Raw genomic sequence first — 17,860 nt, 5'->3', positions numbered from 1 at the left:
TTCCAAAAAACTAGATGTTAAATGCTGCCCCAGCCCAAAATGAAGAATAGAGATAGGTTAATTTATTATGCACATCTGCTGAAATAAAACAAAATCATAATAAATGTTAACTTTTAAAAGTACTTTGGTACCAGCCATAACAAACAAAATGGTGGAAAATAGATTATATTTATTAAATAAATAAATTTAAAAACCCAACCCTGATTTTCCTGGCTTTTTCTTAGTGACATTATATAAAGAGTAAAGTACTTAAAGTCTTTTAATGTTTAATTTCCTTTCTTAAAAAACTTACAAAACGCACATTCACCCAAGAAACTGAAACCACATCTCCTGAGGAAAGAGGCAGTTAGGCTCTCTACCAGAAGTATTAAAAACACTCATGAACAAAAGCAGCAAATTACACACTTCTAAACATTTAAAATTTTGAATCTTTACTTGTTACATTAGATTTCCCCACAAAATATTCTTATCCAACTATGTTAGGGATTCTGGATTCTAGGGGTCACAACCAATTTACGTGGGAGCCTCTCCAGAGAGCTAAGAGAAACTTGCACTTATCATCATTTAGATGTTGCCAAGGCCAAAGTAAATAAATCAATCCTTTTCAGGACTGGCTGCCTTTTAGCAAAAACTCAGCTTAAAGCCAACTTTTACCATTCTGGGCGTACTCTGGAAACACTGACATGATCTGACCTACCGGGGTTTAAGAATGATCAACTGTTTGCTTTTCCATCTATGCTGAAATCTACCTACTGAAGTGCCCTCTGAATGCAGAATCCTCATTGTTTTCCAAAAAGTAAAAGCAAACACAAACTTTCCTATCGTAGATTGCCCTCTCTATCAGTGAAAGAGGACATCAGCAAGGTTCAACTTTTCTTTTAAACCCATAATTCAGGATTCCAAAATCATCAAATGCTTTTAGAACATTTTTTATAATTGTAGAGAGAAAAAAAACCACACAAGTTGTTGATCTGTTTGTTCCATAACATACCTCACCAATGTGCTCTGCAGAACAAAGTAACTGAGGAAAAAAATCAAAGCGTGGAATTACCATGAATAAGTATCCTCTACTTAGATATTTGACAACTAGTTTGGTCTCAAATGCTACCAATCAAGACACTGCAGTGAGAGGACTGGGTTTCCAAGGCAGCCTAAATCCTGGGCAAACAGCTTTCTGTGATGATCACTGATGGCTCCATCTTCAAATGACTGTTACCTCAGATTCCATCCCAACAACAGCAAGTCGGCTGTTCAAAATGTTATACCAAATTACATCTTAAGAGAGAGGGCAAGCCATAGAAGTGGGCCCAATCATGATTTTCTATCAGACCTGAACATGACCTTTTCAGGTTCTATATTCAGAAGGATATCCTGGCAGAAATGAGGCTTTGTTCAGACAAAGTTACATTCTAATAAATTAAACCAAGGTTTAAAGCCTTACAGGTGAGAATCACAGATAACAGTCAATGGATATAAAGAAACACAATGCCAGGTTGAAAAGGTGAATCACCTTAATACATTTCCAACAACCATGTCTTGCCACACTGAATAGTAAAGTTGTCGGCTGGTCTTGGGTGGCTCATGCCTGTAATCCCAGTGCTTTGGGAGGCCAGGGCAGAAGGATCACTAGAGCTTTGGAGTTCAAGACCAGCCTGGGCAACACGGCGAAACTCTGTCTCTACTAAAAATATAAAATTTAGTTGGGCATGGTAGTGCTCGCCTATAGTCCCAGCTACTCAGGAGGCTGAGGTGGGAAGATCACCTGAGCCTGGGAATTCAAGGCTGCAGTGAGCCAAGATTGCACCACTGCACTCCAGCCTGCAAGAACCTGTCTCTCCAAAAAAAAAAAAAAAAAAAAAAAAAAAATTAGCAAAGTTGTCAATTTAATGAGACTCTACTACATTGTTTAATCACAAGATCAGTTATTATTCATTTATTCCATGTGTATTTATTGAACACATTAATGCACTGAAGATCCAGTGTTAAAAGAAATATGATCCCAGCCCTATAGACTAATGTGGGAATATCATATAAATAATCACTCAATAAATATAAAATTATAGGGTGGGCATGTTGGCTCACGCCTGTAATCCCAGCACTTCAGGAGGCTGAAGTGGGAGGATCACTTCAACCCAGGAGTTCAAGATCAGCCTGGGCAACATGGCAAAACCCTGTCTCTACAAAAAATACAAAAAAAAAATCCACCAGGTGTGATGGTGTACACCTGTGGTCCCAGCTACCTGAGAGGTTCACGTGGGAGGATCACTTGAGCCCAGGAAGTGGAGGCTGCAGTGAATCAGGATCGTGCCACCGCACTCCAGCCTTGGCGACGCAGTGAGCCCCTGTCTCAAAAAAAATAAAAACTGTAATAAATGCTAAGAAGGAAAGAATAATCCCAAAAAGAAGGGGGAAAGGACATATGATTTAGATTAGAGATCAGGGAAAGAATTTAAATTGAGACATAAGGACAGTGTATACAGGAGTGAAGAGGAGAATGAGAGACCCAAGATAGGAATGGCACACAGGAAAGGGTAAAGGCAGGAAGTTCTTCACACAATCAAGGACCAGAACAAAGACCATGAGGCATGGCTGGAGCACAGTGAGCAAGAATGGGCATGGCTAGAGATGAGAATGAGAGGTAGATAGGTGCCAAGTCAGGTGTGGGCCTTGCAGAACATAAGAAGCCAGAATTTAAGTACAACGGCAAGATGGGTAAGGATTCTGTGCAAGACAGCAACATTGCCCAGGGCAAGATAAGAGCAGGCTAAGAGTGGGTGTAGGGAGACCAGTTAAAAGCTACTGCAATAGTCAAGGCATGAGAGGCTGGAGCTGTGATGCAGGCATTGGAGATGGAATTAAGATATATTTTGGAGTTGAATAGTCTTGGTGATAATTACATATGAGAGCTTAAGGATTATCAGCTAAGAGAAGTCAAGGATTATTTCCAGCTTTCTGACACTAGCAATTAGGTTGATAGTGGCATCACTTATGGCACAGGAAAGACAAGAGGAAGGGGTAAAGATCAATAATTCTATTTCGGAGGTGGTTCTATTTGATAGGTCACATATGAGACTTTTAAGTGAAGAAACTGAGTAAGCAATTCAAAATGAAGGTCTGGAACTCAGAAAACAGACCTGGGCTGTAGCTTTACAAACAGTTTATATGCTGAGAAACTTTCCAGCCCAAGCTGGAGAGAGGATATTGAAATGCAAGTCCATGCAACCCCTAAATCCATGAAACTCTTCCAGTGCACCACACTGCTATACACAAAAGTAAGGGATAATGTTCTGTCACTGTTAATGAAGAAAATTCACTGAGGAAGTGAGTTGAGCCTTGAAGGATATATAGATATAGATGTTCCAAAGAGAAATAAGGAAGTTGAAGGCCACTCCAGACAAAGGCCAGAACTTGTGAAAGACCTAGATCTGTGAGTGGACCTGCCATGGTAAAGGCCCAGTAAAAGATTTACTGTAGCTATTAACAGGTTGGGGACACAGTGCTGGGTAGGGAGGAACTAGAATAGGGGGGAAATAACGCTGGTAGAATGGCCCTGTGGGAGGGACTAGTCACTGCCCAATTATCCAGCCTCTTCTTTCCTAGTAAAAAGAACTCCAATTTTTAGCTGGGCATACTGCCACCTAGTTAAAAGGCCACATCCCTCAGCCACATCCCTGCATGTCTACATTTTAGGCAACAAGATTCTGGGGAAAGTGTGTTGTTAGTGACTTCCAGGAGTAACCTTACAAGGCAGAGGCCCAGCCTTCTCTCTCTTCTCAATCCTGCGGGCTGGAATGTGGATTTGATAGCTGGACCTTGATCGCTCATCCTGGTCCTGGAGGCCAGAGGTCAAGGGTGTTTTCTACTCTGCAGAGCAGTACAACAGAATGAGCTGAAGACTGTGGAGCTATCCTACAAGTCTTGGCCTGCCTGTCTCTGATCTTCTTCTACGTGAGATAGAAATTAACTTCTTTCTTGTTTAAGCCACTGATATTTTAGGATTTAATGCTATTCTCTACGGAATATACTTTCTAACATACAGGCCCAGACAATGAAACTGACAAGCTAGGACACTATCCTATAAAGCATTATAAATGCCAGGGCAATTCTTCTCTTAAGAGCTATATATCACACATGTATTTTAGAGCTATGAATTTGATAGAACCCTGGAATGAAGAGACAATGGTAGCAGAGATCTTAGAAAGCTGAGGTTAGAATCTAGGTGAGACACAATCAGAACCCAAATTAAGATAATGGCAGTGATTTAAGTCCAAAGCTGACAAATCCAAGCTTGTTCAATCTCTGAATGGAGGGCCACAGAAATTTACAATTTCCAAAGAGTTCAATGAAAAGAATGCAGTATGTATTTGTAAATGAAAATATGTCCCTTCTGGATCTCTCAAAACCAACTAGGAAAACTTATCTTATGGGCCCCCCTCTCTTCAGTGAAATGTAGAAATGAAAACACAAGTCCTCACAGGGGCAAGGTAACATACACTGTGAATAATCATTTGTGATGCTGCAAGCTTGCTGGGCTAACGAGTGCTTATGATCATTCTAGGACCCCACATCTAGCTCCTGTCAAGGCAAGACTTGGGAGGGACAGTCTTCAGGAGCACCAATAAGCTCCTTTCTTCACAAAATCCCTAGGCCTAAGCAAATTTCACTCTGATATAGAGCTAATGAAAATGTATGATGCCAAAGAATTTTCACAGCATGCTCGCCTATATTACCTCTTTTAACTTACAACTTATACTATGGGTAAAGTGGGTACTGTTATTCCAGCTTCACTGAGGAAAGAGGAGTAGTGAAGAGGGGGAGCCAGTGAATGACAGCATGCAGGATGCTGGTGTTGACAGTGGTGACCTGTTCTCCACACTAGCAAGAACTGGGCACTATGAAAAGAGCCATGAAAACCTGTATCAAGATATTATTTAAATGGCATGGGACCTCCTGAAATGCTGGAGTCAACCCAGTGAGCATCCTGAATATTGATGGAGTATCAAGCTCTGTCCTCAGGGAGCTCGCTCCTATGTTGGAAGGGAGACAAAAATGCAAACAAATTTTGAAAGCACATGCTGTTCATGACTGCTGGCAAGCAGTGTGCCTAAGGGCAATGAGATGGGAGCCCCGCAGTTTGACAGAGCGGCTAAACTCTTGAGTTGAGAATGGAAAGGCTGAGTAGGAAATAGCTAGGTGAATGGGACGAGGGAGCATTTTAGAAAGGGAGAAGAGAGCGTGCAAAGGCACACAAGCAAGAGTAAACTGAGTAGGAGGAAAGCCGTGTGTGTATAAATGAGGTGTAGGGACCAGACCATGAAACGCCTCATATGACATTCTGAAGAGTATCTATTTTATATTTTAGTGATGGAAAACCATTGCAAATTCTGAGAATAATATGATCAGAATTATATTTAATGAGAAATGGTTAAATTATATTTAATGAGAAAAGGTTATCCTGGTCAGTCTAGTGCTCCTTTGAAGACAAACTTTTTTTTCTCCAGCTGCTTTTTTCTCTTTGCCTTTGGCTTTCAGTAGTTTCCTCCTGGTGTATCTAAATTTGGATATTTTTTTAAAAATTAGACTTGCAGTCACTAATCTGCTTAATGGTATCTCGCCTGCTATGGAAAATCTCAGCCACTGTCTTCAAATTTCACCTTTGCCCATTTTCTGTCTCATCTTCTTCTAGAACTCTAATTCAACTTATTTAAACCTTCTCACTCTGTTCTCTATGTCTCTTGCCTTCTCCTCTGCATTTTCTATTTGTCTCTCCATTGCAATACTCTGAATAATTTTTTTCTTACTCTCTTCCAGTTTGTTAACTTTCTCTTCCACTTTATCCAATCTGCTGTTAAATCTATCCACTGACTTTTTCTCTTCAAAATATTTAATCAAACATACACTTTTCTTCATCCACAAGTTTTTAATTTCATTAATTTAATGTTTATTTCTAGAAGGATTTTTTGGTTTCTTTTCCAATTTGCTATGTCATAATTCAGAGTTATCTTCAAAGTTATCTTTTATTTCTTTAAACAGGGGAAACAGACTTTTTTTTTAGACTGTGGTGATTCTAGTATCTGATGATATTTTTGAAGGGCCACTTCTGTTGTTTGTGTTTTCTTATGGTTCTTGTCTTTGAAGTCTGATTTCAAATAGACATTTTTTAGACTGTGATGATTCTAGTACCTGATGATGTTTTTGAAGAGCTGCTTCTGTTGTTTGTGGTTTCTTATGGTTCTTGTCTTTGAAGTATGATTTCCTTGGATGCCTGGTTATATTTATGGGCTGGTCACTGAATAATCTGAGGCCTAGGTTGAAGAAACCTTTCTTTTGAAAGAATTTCCACTTGATTTTGCCAGATATCCAGAGGCACCAGTCCTTAAACCAATTCAAGACTTTAGATTCTTTGATTGACCCAGTCAGCTTGAACCTGGGCTGCATTTCCATGTGAGAGCTGCTGTTTCATGTCTACCCTGATGGTGTAGCCCTTTGGGGTTCCAGCTTCTTATAAAGAGTCTGGACCTTATTTCTGTCCCCAGCAACTGGTGGTCAAACCTACAATGTCTTATCAATTCCAATTTTAACCTGGTAATGCCCGTCAGTTCTTTAATGCTTTGAGATTTTTTTTAAATCCAAATATTTTTAGTTGTTTCAGTGGGAGGGTGTATCTGCCTTTGGTTTTCAGTAGTTTCCTCCTGGTGAATCTAATAGCCCACCATAACGATTAACGGAAAGTCCCTAGGATTTGTATCTTAGAAATCTTTTTCGGGTGGCAGTGTAGAGCATAGATGGGGAGCAGTGATGGGGGTAAGAATAGGGGAGGGGGACAGTGTAAGCACAAGCAAGGAGATGGTAAGGAAGCCATTACAATAATACCCAATGTTCCATTAAGGCACTGTCGGATAAGGTACTATCTCATTAAGGCACAAGGATGGAGAAGTGGGTACTCACATTCATTTGTCTCAGCAACCCCATGAGGAAAGTATTATTATCTTAGGGTTTTTTTTTCTTTCAGAAACCCATTGCTTGTTAATATCCTGAGTTTTAATGAAAAGCAACCAGCAATTCAAAGAAGTAAACTAACTTATCCCAGGGTTCATCCAAGGAGATGGTTAGTAGAGGGGCATCAGAACCCAGTCTGACTCCACGTCCAAGCTCTTCCCACCAAGGTATGATGGGATCTGGAAGAAAGATGGGTGTATGTGGGTGGGTTCCAATTAGGGTGGGAGGGTTGTGGAAAATTTTATAATTCAGTTATAGACAGTGATGGGTTTTAAATTTTAGAAGCTGCCTAATGATCAACAGCTCTCCTTATATAATTTCACTGCTTCCATCCATAGGCATGACAGATAGCATGAGCTTTGGAGTCACAAGATCTAAATTCAAACCTAGATCCTATGAGCTTGAGCTATGTGGCTCCAAACAAATAAATTACTCTTTGTCTCTGAATTTCCTCCTTTGCCCACTGGAAATAGTTTATATGAGTTATGTTTACATGTAGTGTCCTGGCACAAGTATATTTTTTAACAATTGTTAGCTACTATTAATGTTTTTGTTGTTGTTGTTGTTGTCTCTTGGAGTTTTGTTTTTGTTTTTTGTTTTTGAGATGGAGTCTTGCTCTGTCGACCAGGCTGGAGTGCAAGGGTGCAATCTCAGCTCACTGCAAATTCTGCCTCCCAGGTTCAAGTGATTCTCCTGCCTCAGCCTCCCGAGTAGCTGGGATTACAGGCACCTGCCACCACGCCCGGCTAATTTTTGTATTTTTTAGTAGAGACAGGGTTTCACCATGTTGGTCAGGCTGGTCTTGAACTCCTGACCTTAGGTGATCCACCCACCTCGGCCTTCCAAAATGCTGGGATTACAGGCGTGAGCCACCGTGCCTGGCCTGTAGCGAGTTATAAGTGAATCCAACCCTGTTATTTTGGACACAACTGGCAGGACAGGACTGGTATACAGGACAATGGCAGCATTACAAAATAGGTCACATTTCCTTGTCTGTAAAATGTAACTTACCCTAAGGAGTTAATGGGAGGATTAAATGAAATTAATATCTGTTAAAGTGCCACAGGGGCTAAAACACAGTAAGCACTCAGTAATTGTTATATATATAAATTGCTGATATTTTTCTGTGTGCCTGGTGTATGCTGTGCAGAGTAAGGAGGAACAAGAGAAGGTACTACATAGATAGGCAGAGGCCAGTTAAACATTACAGAGTTTGGATTATCACAAAGGCAATGGGGAGCTATAGGAGAATGGTGGCAAAAGGCTGACATGATTAAAGTATTGGGAAGCTTAGACAGGTTTCTGAACAGGGAACAGATTTAGGAAAAGTGAGACTGGAGGCAGGAGGCCAGTTAATAGGTCACTGCACTAAATCAGACTAGTGGCCAAGGGAATGGAAGGTCCTGGCTAGAGAGGTATGTAGAAGGCAAAACTGGCAAAATTATAATATTTAGATGCTAGTGGGGAAGTGGGGAGGTATATGAGGTAGAGTAGGGTGTGGGAAAGACTGCCTGATTTCCTTATAACAGAGCTTCCTTACCAGCAGCATAGACATGACCTGTGAGCTCTTAGAAATGCAAAATAAAAGGCACCGTCCATGACCTACAGACTCGGAGCCTCTGGGGTTGCGGGCCAGTACTCTGTAGCTTCACGAGCCTTCCAGGTGATTCCAGTGCACACTAAGGCGTGTGAGCCACCACTATAGATTGATGAGGAGCCATCACAGGAAGAGTATTTCAGTGCAACCAAGAAAGGATATAAATTCAGTCAGTTTTTAGTTTAAGGTATCAGATATTAGATCTGGCACTTCAAAGAAAGGAAGGTCTGGGCTGGAAACAGAAATAAGGGAGTCACCTGTGTACAGACAGCAAATGAATGAGTAGACTCTTTCCCTGGGAGATTGTTCAGAATTAGAGGGGAAGAGAACCTAGGACAGAATAGTGGAGAACATCAACATTTAAGAAAAGCAAAAGTAGAAAAGTTTGCAAAGGAAACTGAGGTGTGGTCAGAGGTAGGAGAAAAATCAGGCTAATATGGAATCAGAGAAGACAAAGAAAGAAAGTATTTCAATAGGGAAAGTGTAGTCAGCAGTGTGGCCTTAGTGACAAGGTCACAGGTGACCCTAGTGAGACTAATCTGAATGAAGGAAAAGTGAAGTCAGAATGCTGTGCCTGGGAAATTGAGTGGGAGGCAGACTGTGGGAATGAGGGTGTGGAAGAAGCTCAGGAAGTCTGGCTGTGAAGGATTGGAATAATACAGGGTGGAAGCTGTAGGGGGAGGACAGAAATCATGACATGGCTTTTAATATTTTATTTTTTTAAGATAAGGGAGGCCTGGACATGGTTAATTGCTGATGGGAAGGAACCAGTAAAGAAGGTGTGGTTGAAGTGGGCACAATTAGGAAAGGGAGGGGTCCCTGGACAGGAAGGGATGTGATCCAGAACCCAGGGGAAGGGTTAACTCCAGCAGAAGGACAGAGAAACGCCAACTTCATTGTATCGAAATAAATGCAGGAGGGGAGGAGATTAGACATAAGCCATTTGTAAATCTAGTGGCTGTAAGCTGCAGGGGATCACAAAGGGGTCAGCTTTTGTTTCCTCTGAAACATCAAAGCCAAACACATCTGGTGAAAGTGCTAGGGAAGGTAGAGAAGACCCACTATGTGCAGAGCTCTGTGTTCCACAATGCCAGGGGAGGCCTGAAAGCGAATGACATCCCAAAACAACGGCCTTGAACATGCCAGGCACTGTGCTCAATGCATTCAAACTAACCATTGGTAGCTTGTCATTGAGCCCGTCACCTGCACTTGGCACTGTGTTAGGTGGTTTACATGCATACCACATTTAATATTCTCCAACAGTCCCACGTGGTAGGCAGGGATTATCATGCTGGTTTTAGAGATAAGGGAACTTATCTCTAAAGGCTCACACATACCAAATAACATGCTTGCCCATGGTGACCAGCTCGGAAGTGGCTGGGGCAGGATTCGAACCTAAATCTCATGGATGCCAGCACCTCATCCTCTTTCCATGCTGCCACACTACCTTCAGAATCCAAACGGCATTGATGGGAGTGAAAATGGAAAACATGATTCCTAAGAGTTATGCCTGAGTGACAGATACTGCAAGAGTCAATCAACTTTATTTTGAACACATTTCAAATTTGGTGTCACAATGCAACATAAGCATAATGAGGTCCTCTGCCCAAGCCAGGGATATGGTTCTACATCTTATGGTAGAGGCTGGGTATATGAATTCTATGATAACATCATCTGAGAGTAGATAAACTGGGCAGAGACTGGGGGGAAAAAAAGCCTTAACATATTAGAGCGTAAGATGAATAAAGGAATGCAAAGGAAGCTGATACCCAAGGAATAAGAGAGGAAAAACATCCTTTCACTACCCCATTTCCCTTCATTGTTCTAATTTACAGATTGGTAAGAGATTAAGAAAGGTGGTACATATTTTGGCAAGATTTGGTCACCCTCCTCTTTAAGCTGGCCATGCAGTGGCTTCAGATTCCTGAGTTGGACCTGAGCCTTGGATACTGTGGCTTTCAGGCCCAAACTGGAGTCCCTCACAGGGTCTTCTCAAATGGGGCTTTGCACTGATTCCCATTCCCAGCTATTAACTGTATTAATTACATCTTCAACACTCTTCTGCTTTTCCCTGAGCACTCTCTGCTCCAAATCTTTCTCTTGCCCAGGAGAAACCACTTTTAAATTTCTCTACTGAAGTTTTAATTGACTTTTAGTCTGATGGCTCCCCAAAGACCCAAAATGTAGGTACATACACTTATATGCTTCCATCTCTAGCTGGCTTTAACTGACTAATTCTGCATCTTACTCAACAGATGAATGATTCCTCCAAGTTTAAGTAGACTTCCATCTGAATTTTTCTGAAAGAGGCCAAGCTTCACGTCTTCCTGTGATGTGATCATGTCAACACTAGAAATATGGTGTTTACTAAAGTCCGACAGGTGTTTCTCTACCCGTCTTCTAAGGACTAGCTAGTTATCCATTAAAACTGCAAAAAATAAAAAAGGTGTTAAGTCATCTGAGCGAGTTAAGTAGAGACTAGCCTCAAAGCATGGGAAGCTAGACTAGATGAGTCAAATTGGGTCTGCAAGCCCACATATATGAAATACATATCATATCTCTCTTATGTTCCAAGCCTCTTAAAGCACATTCAATATTTCATTCTCTTGAACATCTCCAGCAGCAATAATGATATCCAGCCTACTACTCGACAAAAGGGAAATAATTAAAATGCTACTTCCCCAAGAGCCAGTCCTCTTTTTCAAATCATTTGGTGTGACCTGAAAACAGGAGGACTACCAAGTGAATTAAGGGAAAAGAAGCTAGATAGATTAAAGGAGAATAAATTCATTTTTACAGATAGCATCATTTCTGAGATCCACGAAGGCCCCTAGGAAAAACACAACAATGCACTACTCAGAAACAGCTAATGTTTGATGCATCTTTGATGGAAAATTGCTTCTCTTTTACAAGGTAACAAGCTTCAGCTCTAAGTGCAAATCAGGCTAACATGGACCACTCCAGCCAGGTTACATAGACATGAATGAGTCACTGCTTTTGATGCCAAATTGGCAAATCTGAAGGTTTTACAATGGATGCTATATGGCTATTGTGGAGAAAAATACTCAGGAATTAAACATGAGAGCAACTGGCTTGGTCCTTCTTTAGTTTCAAAGGGTGGAAAGAAGGAGTGCCTTCTGCACAACAGTTGCTAAATACAAGACTGTTGTGGGGTTGCAAGTGGATGATTAAAGATGAGCAAAAACGGTTACATGAGAAAAAAGTTTTTAAGTCAATTGTAAAAACACCAGCCATGAATTGTAAACTGGAAAAAATACGTTGTTATAAAGAAGACTCACAAAAGGAAAAGATCACACACTTGGTTGGAAGAAATAAGTAAAGGCTGATAGAGGAACCATCTGTGACAAGCAGACTCTACTATGGTCCCCAATAATCCCCCACCCTCTTGGTCTTCATGCCCTGTATGATCACCCCTACCTGAGTGTGGGCGGGACCTGGGACTTGTTTCTAACCAACGAAATATTGCAGAGATGATGCCCTGTCACTTCCATGATTAGCTTCCATAAGACCGTGACTTCCATCGTGCCAGCTGACTCTCTGGATCTGATAAAGCATGCGGCCACATAGAGAGGCCCATGGAGCAGGCAGCGGAGGCAGCAAGGAGCTGAGGTCATCAGTCCAAGAGCCCACAAGGAACTGGATCTGGCCAATAATCACAAAAGCCTGGAAGCAGATCTTTCCCCAGTCTGCCTTCAGAAAACTGACACCTTGACTACAGCCTTGTGAGGAACTCTGAAGTAGGGGACCCAGAAGGGCCCTATCCAGATTCCTGACCTACAGAAACTGTGAGATAATAAATGTGTTGGTTGAAGCCACTAAGTTTGTGGCTATTTGTTACACAGTGAGAGATACCTAATACACATCTAAAATGACAGTTTACATTTGAAGAATGGGAGGCCTTTTCACAGGAGATGGCGAACTAGGTGGCATTCATGTCAGAAAAGATAAAGCACAGCCACACAAGGACAGAAGAGGAAAGGGAGTGCTCAGGAACAATACGGAGCCTGGTTAGGCTGGCCCTGAGGTCTGAATGGGCAGATGCAAGAGCAAAGGTTGGAGAGGCAGGGAAGAGGCCCCTGGTGGGCAAGGGGAGCCAGAGAGTCATTAAAGCTCATCACTGACACCATGTGGTCTGAGAACTTCTGCAGGAAGATTCATTTGACACTTGCTAGTTCAAGAGGTAACAGGCTTCAAAAAATGGTTTGGAAAATTCCCATAACAAAATGCTACGCTTTACTCTTTTTAAGGTGCTTTCCCTTCCATTACCTCACTTGATCTATGCAAGAATCATCTGATTTACGTAAGAACCTGTGAAGTAACCAAGACAAGTATTTATTATGAAGGTTTCATACAAATAAGGAAAATGAAGCACTAAGAGGTAAGAATGACTGGCAAAAGCTCTTGTTTAGTACTGTTTTGTCCTACTAAGAGTGCTGCCACATTTTGTTGGATCCCCCTTCCCTGATGGAGAGGTGAACAGAGCTAGCCAGGCAGGTTTGGATCCTGGCCCCACTACACCAGGGTCGGCCCAGAGAGCATATTCATACCTGGAAGAAAAGGTGCAATGAGGCCTGGGTGAACTGCAGAGTCATGGGTGCAGTAGTCTAAAGTGCAGAAGCAGGTACCAAAGGGGCTCTGAAACAGGGCTGAAATGAGTGTCAGAGCCAAGGGGAGCAGCCACATGAGGGTTAGCTAGCTGAGGAGCAGAGATGTGGGACTTCACAGTGCAGCTGAACTTTTGTTCAAGGGACTAGACAAAAGCTATGAAGCGTGGACGGCTGGTTCCACTTACAGGAACAGGGGTGGCATATTCATTCTTTAATGTTTTGAGTTGGGTGGGGTTTTTGTTGTTGTTGTTGTTGTTGTTCTTTTTGTTTGTTTTTTGTTTGTTTTAAGCATTATCTGAAAACCAGGGACAGTTTTCAATTGTAAAATGTTAAATAAGATCTGTCCTTAATGGCGGACATTCTATAGCCAGAGTAGGGCAGCTGTCAGTTCCCTCTCCCCATTCAGAGCCACACGACCCAGTTTTTAGCCAATAGGCTTGGCTAGACTCTTCAATAGCTTTTTAAAAATCTCAACAGGTTATAACCATCATTACTCCAAGTCTATTAGTCAGGCAAAGATTTCCCTTGGCATGTTGTTGCATGACTTGAAAAACCTAGTTGAGAATTCTCTAAGGAGAACGGGAATTATTTAGAGTGATCCAAAGAAGAATCAATGACAGTAGGATGAACTTGTAGGCAAGGATAATTCCACATAGTGACCATGAAAGGGTCTCTAACAAAGGAAAAAATACATAAACCTTAAAGACACGGGTAAAACACCAGTTACCCAAAAGGCTTCATTACTCAACTGAATAAACCCAGCATATGCTGACCAAAGGGATGAAAAGGGAAGAGCTACTTGACTGGCTCGAGCCTTCCCTTCTTGAGCTCTGAAGACCTGAAGCTTAACTTCACAATAGTATTCATCTGTTTTATTTATTTATTTATTTATTTATTTATTTATTTATTCATTTATTTATTTAAGACCAAGTCTCACGCTGTTGCCCAGGCTGGAGTGCAATGGTGCAATCTCAGCTCACTGCAATCTCCACCTCCAGAGTTCAAGTGATTCCTGTGTCTCAGCCTCCTGAGTAGCTGGGATTACAAGTGTCCGGCACCATGCCAGGCTAATTTTTGTATTTTTAGTAGAAACAGGGTTTTGTCATGTTGGCCAGGCTGGTCTTGTGCTCCTGACCTCAAGCCATCTGCCCACCTCAGCCTCCCAAAGTGCTAGGATCTGTAATCCTGTGTGTGAGCCACCGCGCCAGCCTTGTATTAGTCCGTTTTCACACTGCTATAAATAACTTCCCTGACATGGGGTTATTTATAAAGGAAAGAGGTTTAATTGACTCACAGTTTTGTAGGCTGGGGAGGCCTCAGGAAACTTACAATCACAGTGGAAGGCAAAACTTCTTCACAAGGCAGCAGGAGAGAGAAGAGCGACAGAGGAACTTCCACTTATAGAATCATCAGATCTTGTGAGAACTCACTCACTATCACAAGAACAGAATGGGGGAAACCGCCCCCATGATCCAATCAACTCCCTCCCTCGACACATGGCAATTACAATTCAAAATGAGATTTGGGTGGGAACACAGAGCCAAACCATATCATTCACAGGCAAACAGCCTCAGAATCTCAGGAAGAGAGAAGTGAGAATGAAGACATAAAACATCCCACGTGGAGCTGATTCTCAGGTTCCTGAGTATACTGTACATTCATTCAGTAAATACCAAATTTAACTTTTCTCTTTCAATACATTCGTATGACATAAAGATTGAATGCAAAAGCGGCTGACAGACTGATTCCAAATAATTGTCAGAATTAGGTTTGTTTTTCTTTTTTTTTTAAAAAAATCTTCAATCACCTGACACCTGCTAAGGGAAACAGAGGCATTCCTTTGTTCCTTGAAAGTAATCATCCCTTTCTTCTTACTTCCTGCTATGGTTTGAATATTTGTCCCTTTCCAAAACACATGGTGAAACTTAATTCCCAATGTGGCAGTACTGAGAGGTGAAGCCTTTAAGAGGTGATTGGATCAGGAGGGCTCTGCTCTCATGAATGGATTAATCCATTAATGGATTAATGGGTTATCATGGGATTGGAACTGGTGGCTTTATAAGAAGAGGAAGAGAGACCTGAGCTAACACATTCAGCTCCCTCTGCATGTGATGCTCTGTGCTGCCTAGGGACTCTGCAGAGAGTCCCCACTGGCAAGAAGGTCCTCACTAGATGCAGCCCCTTGACCTTGGACTTCTTATACTCCATAACTGTAAGAAATAAATTCCTTTTCATAATAAATTACCCAGTTTCAGGTATTCAGTTATAACCAAGAGAAAACAGACTAAGACACTTCCAGATACTTTTCTTCTAGGTTTTCTTCAAGGCTTTCAAAATCTTTACCAGATTTACTTCTCAAACACCCTCCCCTATGCCTGAGTTTTCTGTATCTTCCAGGTTGTGCTCTGGTATTATAGGACAATGATTACTTCGGGTAATTCAATCATAGTCCACTTACTCAACAATCTCATTGATTTCCCATAGCTTGACAAGATTCACGTGTATAACTCTCACCACCCTTCCTATGGGTCTATACTTCTATTTCCAATTGCCCACTGGATGTCATAACCTGAATGTCCCCTATGAAACTCAAATCAACATATAATCACAACCTGAATCCATGGTCCTTCTTACCCTTGGTCTTTTATTTTTTTATTTTTTTCACTAAAGAACATCAGCATCACACAGTTGCTAAGCTAGAAACCAAGTTACTCTCATTAATTAATCCTTCTCTGCCTAAGTCCTATATCAGATCTGCCGTGGAACCATGTCAATTCTAGTTCTGAAATGTCTTGTTCATCTATTATTTCCTCTTTATTCCAGCGCTGTTGCTCTTAGTCAGGTCTTCCAGCATCTCTAGTCTTTGGGGTGGGGGGATGGGAATGGGAGGGACGGGAGTCTTATTATTACTCAAATCAGTCTCCCTGAGCATTCAGGGATCAGAGATTTTAAGGATAATTTGGTGGGTAAGGGAATAGTGAGTCAAGAGTGCTGATTGGTTGGGTCTGAGATGAAACCATAGGGAAATGAAGCTGTCCTCTTGCCCTGAGTCAGTTCCTGAGTGGAGGCCACAAGATCAGATAAGCCAGTTTATCAATCTGTGTGGTGCCAGCTGATCCATCAAGTGCAGTGTCTGCAAAATATCTCAAGCACTGATCTTATGAGAGTTTAGGGAGGGAGGGTCAGAATCCTGTAGCTCCAGCTGCATGACTCCTAAACCATAATTTCTAATCTTGTGCCTAACTTGTTAGTCCTACAAAGGCAATCTAGTCTTCAGGCAAGAAGGAGGTTTGTTTTGGGAAAGGGTTGTTATCATCTTTGTTTTAAACTGTAAACTAAGTTCCTCCCAAAGCTGGTTCAGCCCACTCCCAGGAATGAACAAGGATAGCTTGGAGGTTAGAGGCAAGATGGAGTTGGTTAGGTCAGCTCTCTTTCACTGACTCAGTTACAATTTTGCAATGGTGGTTTCAATCCCTCCTTTTGGGTTTTATAATACCTTAATCTTAAGGTGTTGGCTAATGAAGATGGAAAAAGGGTGAAGACCATTCTAACTTCTTCCTGCTATCAGAGGCATAGTGGGAATAGGTGTGGACCCTAAGATAAAAGGAGTGGAACCACTTTGCAACTGTCTAAGCATATTCATGCAGGCCTGGCTGGACTTCCAAGACTTGCATGGCAAAGGTGTTAGTACTGTCACCTATAGTTTTAGTACCGCATAAGGGAACAGCATACTATAAAGTAAATACTGAGTAGTGGAATGAGCAGTGCAATTCCCAGTTTTAAAAGTAAAGATTTGAAAGCTTTGATTTGGAGACTTATAGCCCACAAAGAATTTAGGACATAGTCCAAGCTGTAGGAAAAACTCAAGGACAGCTAGGAACAGGTGTATTATAGTTTTTCTTTTGAAGCATAATTTTTGTCTCCAGCATCTCTAGTCTTAATGGTTCCCAGCCATGCCCCAGTTTCTCCCCTTTCTAATGACAAGTCTCCTTTCTGTAACAACCTTGGATGACTCTTCACAATCCAGAGCTCTAAGCAGCCATAGATAATTCTGCAAAACCTCATCACAGCCCATTTTTTTTCTAGCCTCCTTTCCAGACTCCCCACTGTGCATCCTGTACTAATCCCACTATAGGTATTACTCTACCTATCATCCAGCTCTGTGACCCTGTTCATACCAAGAATATTCTTCATCCTCTTTCACTTGGCAAGCCCTACTCACCCTTCAAGGCCCAGGAAATACATTGTCCTCTTTTTTTCTCTCCCTTTTTCTACCATACCTCCTTTTACCTTGTCCCCCTTCCTCTCTGAATGGTCCCTCCTTCTGCCTGCAAATCTGTTCCTCTTGTCTACATGCCACTGTCTACAGTTGCTAGAGCCTCTGTTCCCTAACAACTTTGTTTCCAGCCCTAACTCCATGTGACATCTCAGCTCCAGAGCTCTCAAGCCATGAAGAAAAATATCTAGTGGATCACTGGCCAGTCAATGTGTTGGTTTTCCTTGGGACAGGAGTCTACTCATGGTCTAAGCAAGGCCCTGGGGACAAGAGCAGACTGTATTTACCAGTTCAGTAAGGGGACTTCCCACTGAAGGAGCTACAGCAGGCAAGATCCAGAGCACATCTGTTATGGTCTCT

The 17,860-nt window shown here is 41.8% G+C and overlaps 1 protein-coding gene across 5 annotated transcripts in view, besides 1 other annotated feature; it reads right to left on the bottom strand.

Annotated features, from left to right (window-relative positions):
• The window catches only part of DIS3L2 (DIS3 like 3'-5' exoribonuclease 2), a 382,638-nt gene that overhangs the window by 214,033 nt on the left and 150,745 nt on the right, over positions 1-17,860 (bottom strand). The window lies entirely within an intron of this gene.
• Positions 8,589-8,783: a silencer, noted in NCBI's record as "fragment chr2:232986245-232986439 (GRCh37/hg19 assembly coordinates)". NCBI's record gives its function as "represses an EF-1alpha promoter that drives an FKBP-Casp9 reporter gene in an ReSE screen in K562 erythroleukemia cells {active_cell/tissue: K562}" and the evidence as "EXISTENCE:reporter gene assay evidence [ECO:0000049][PMID:32094911]".

The sequence above is a fragment of the Homo sapiens genome, chromosome 2 (genome assembly GCF_000001405.40).
Source record: "Homo sapiens chromosome 2, GRCh38.p14 Primary Assembly".
In the NCBI taxonomy this organism is placed as follows: domain Eukaryota; kingdom Metazoa; phylum Chordata; class Mammalia; order Primates; family Hominidae; genus Homo; species Homo sapiens.
The sequence above is the reverse complement of the archived record's forward strand: the minus strand, read 5'-3'. Positions and strand labels throughout refer to the sequence as shown.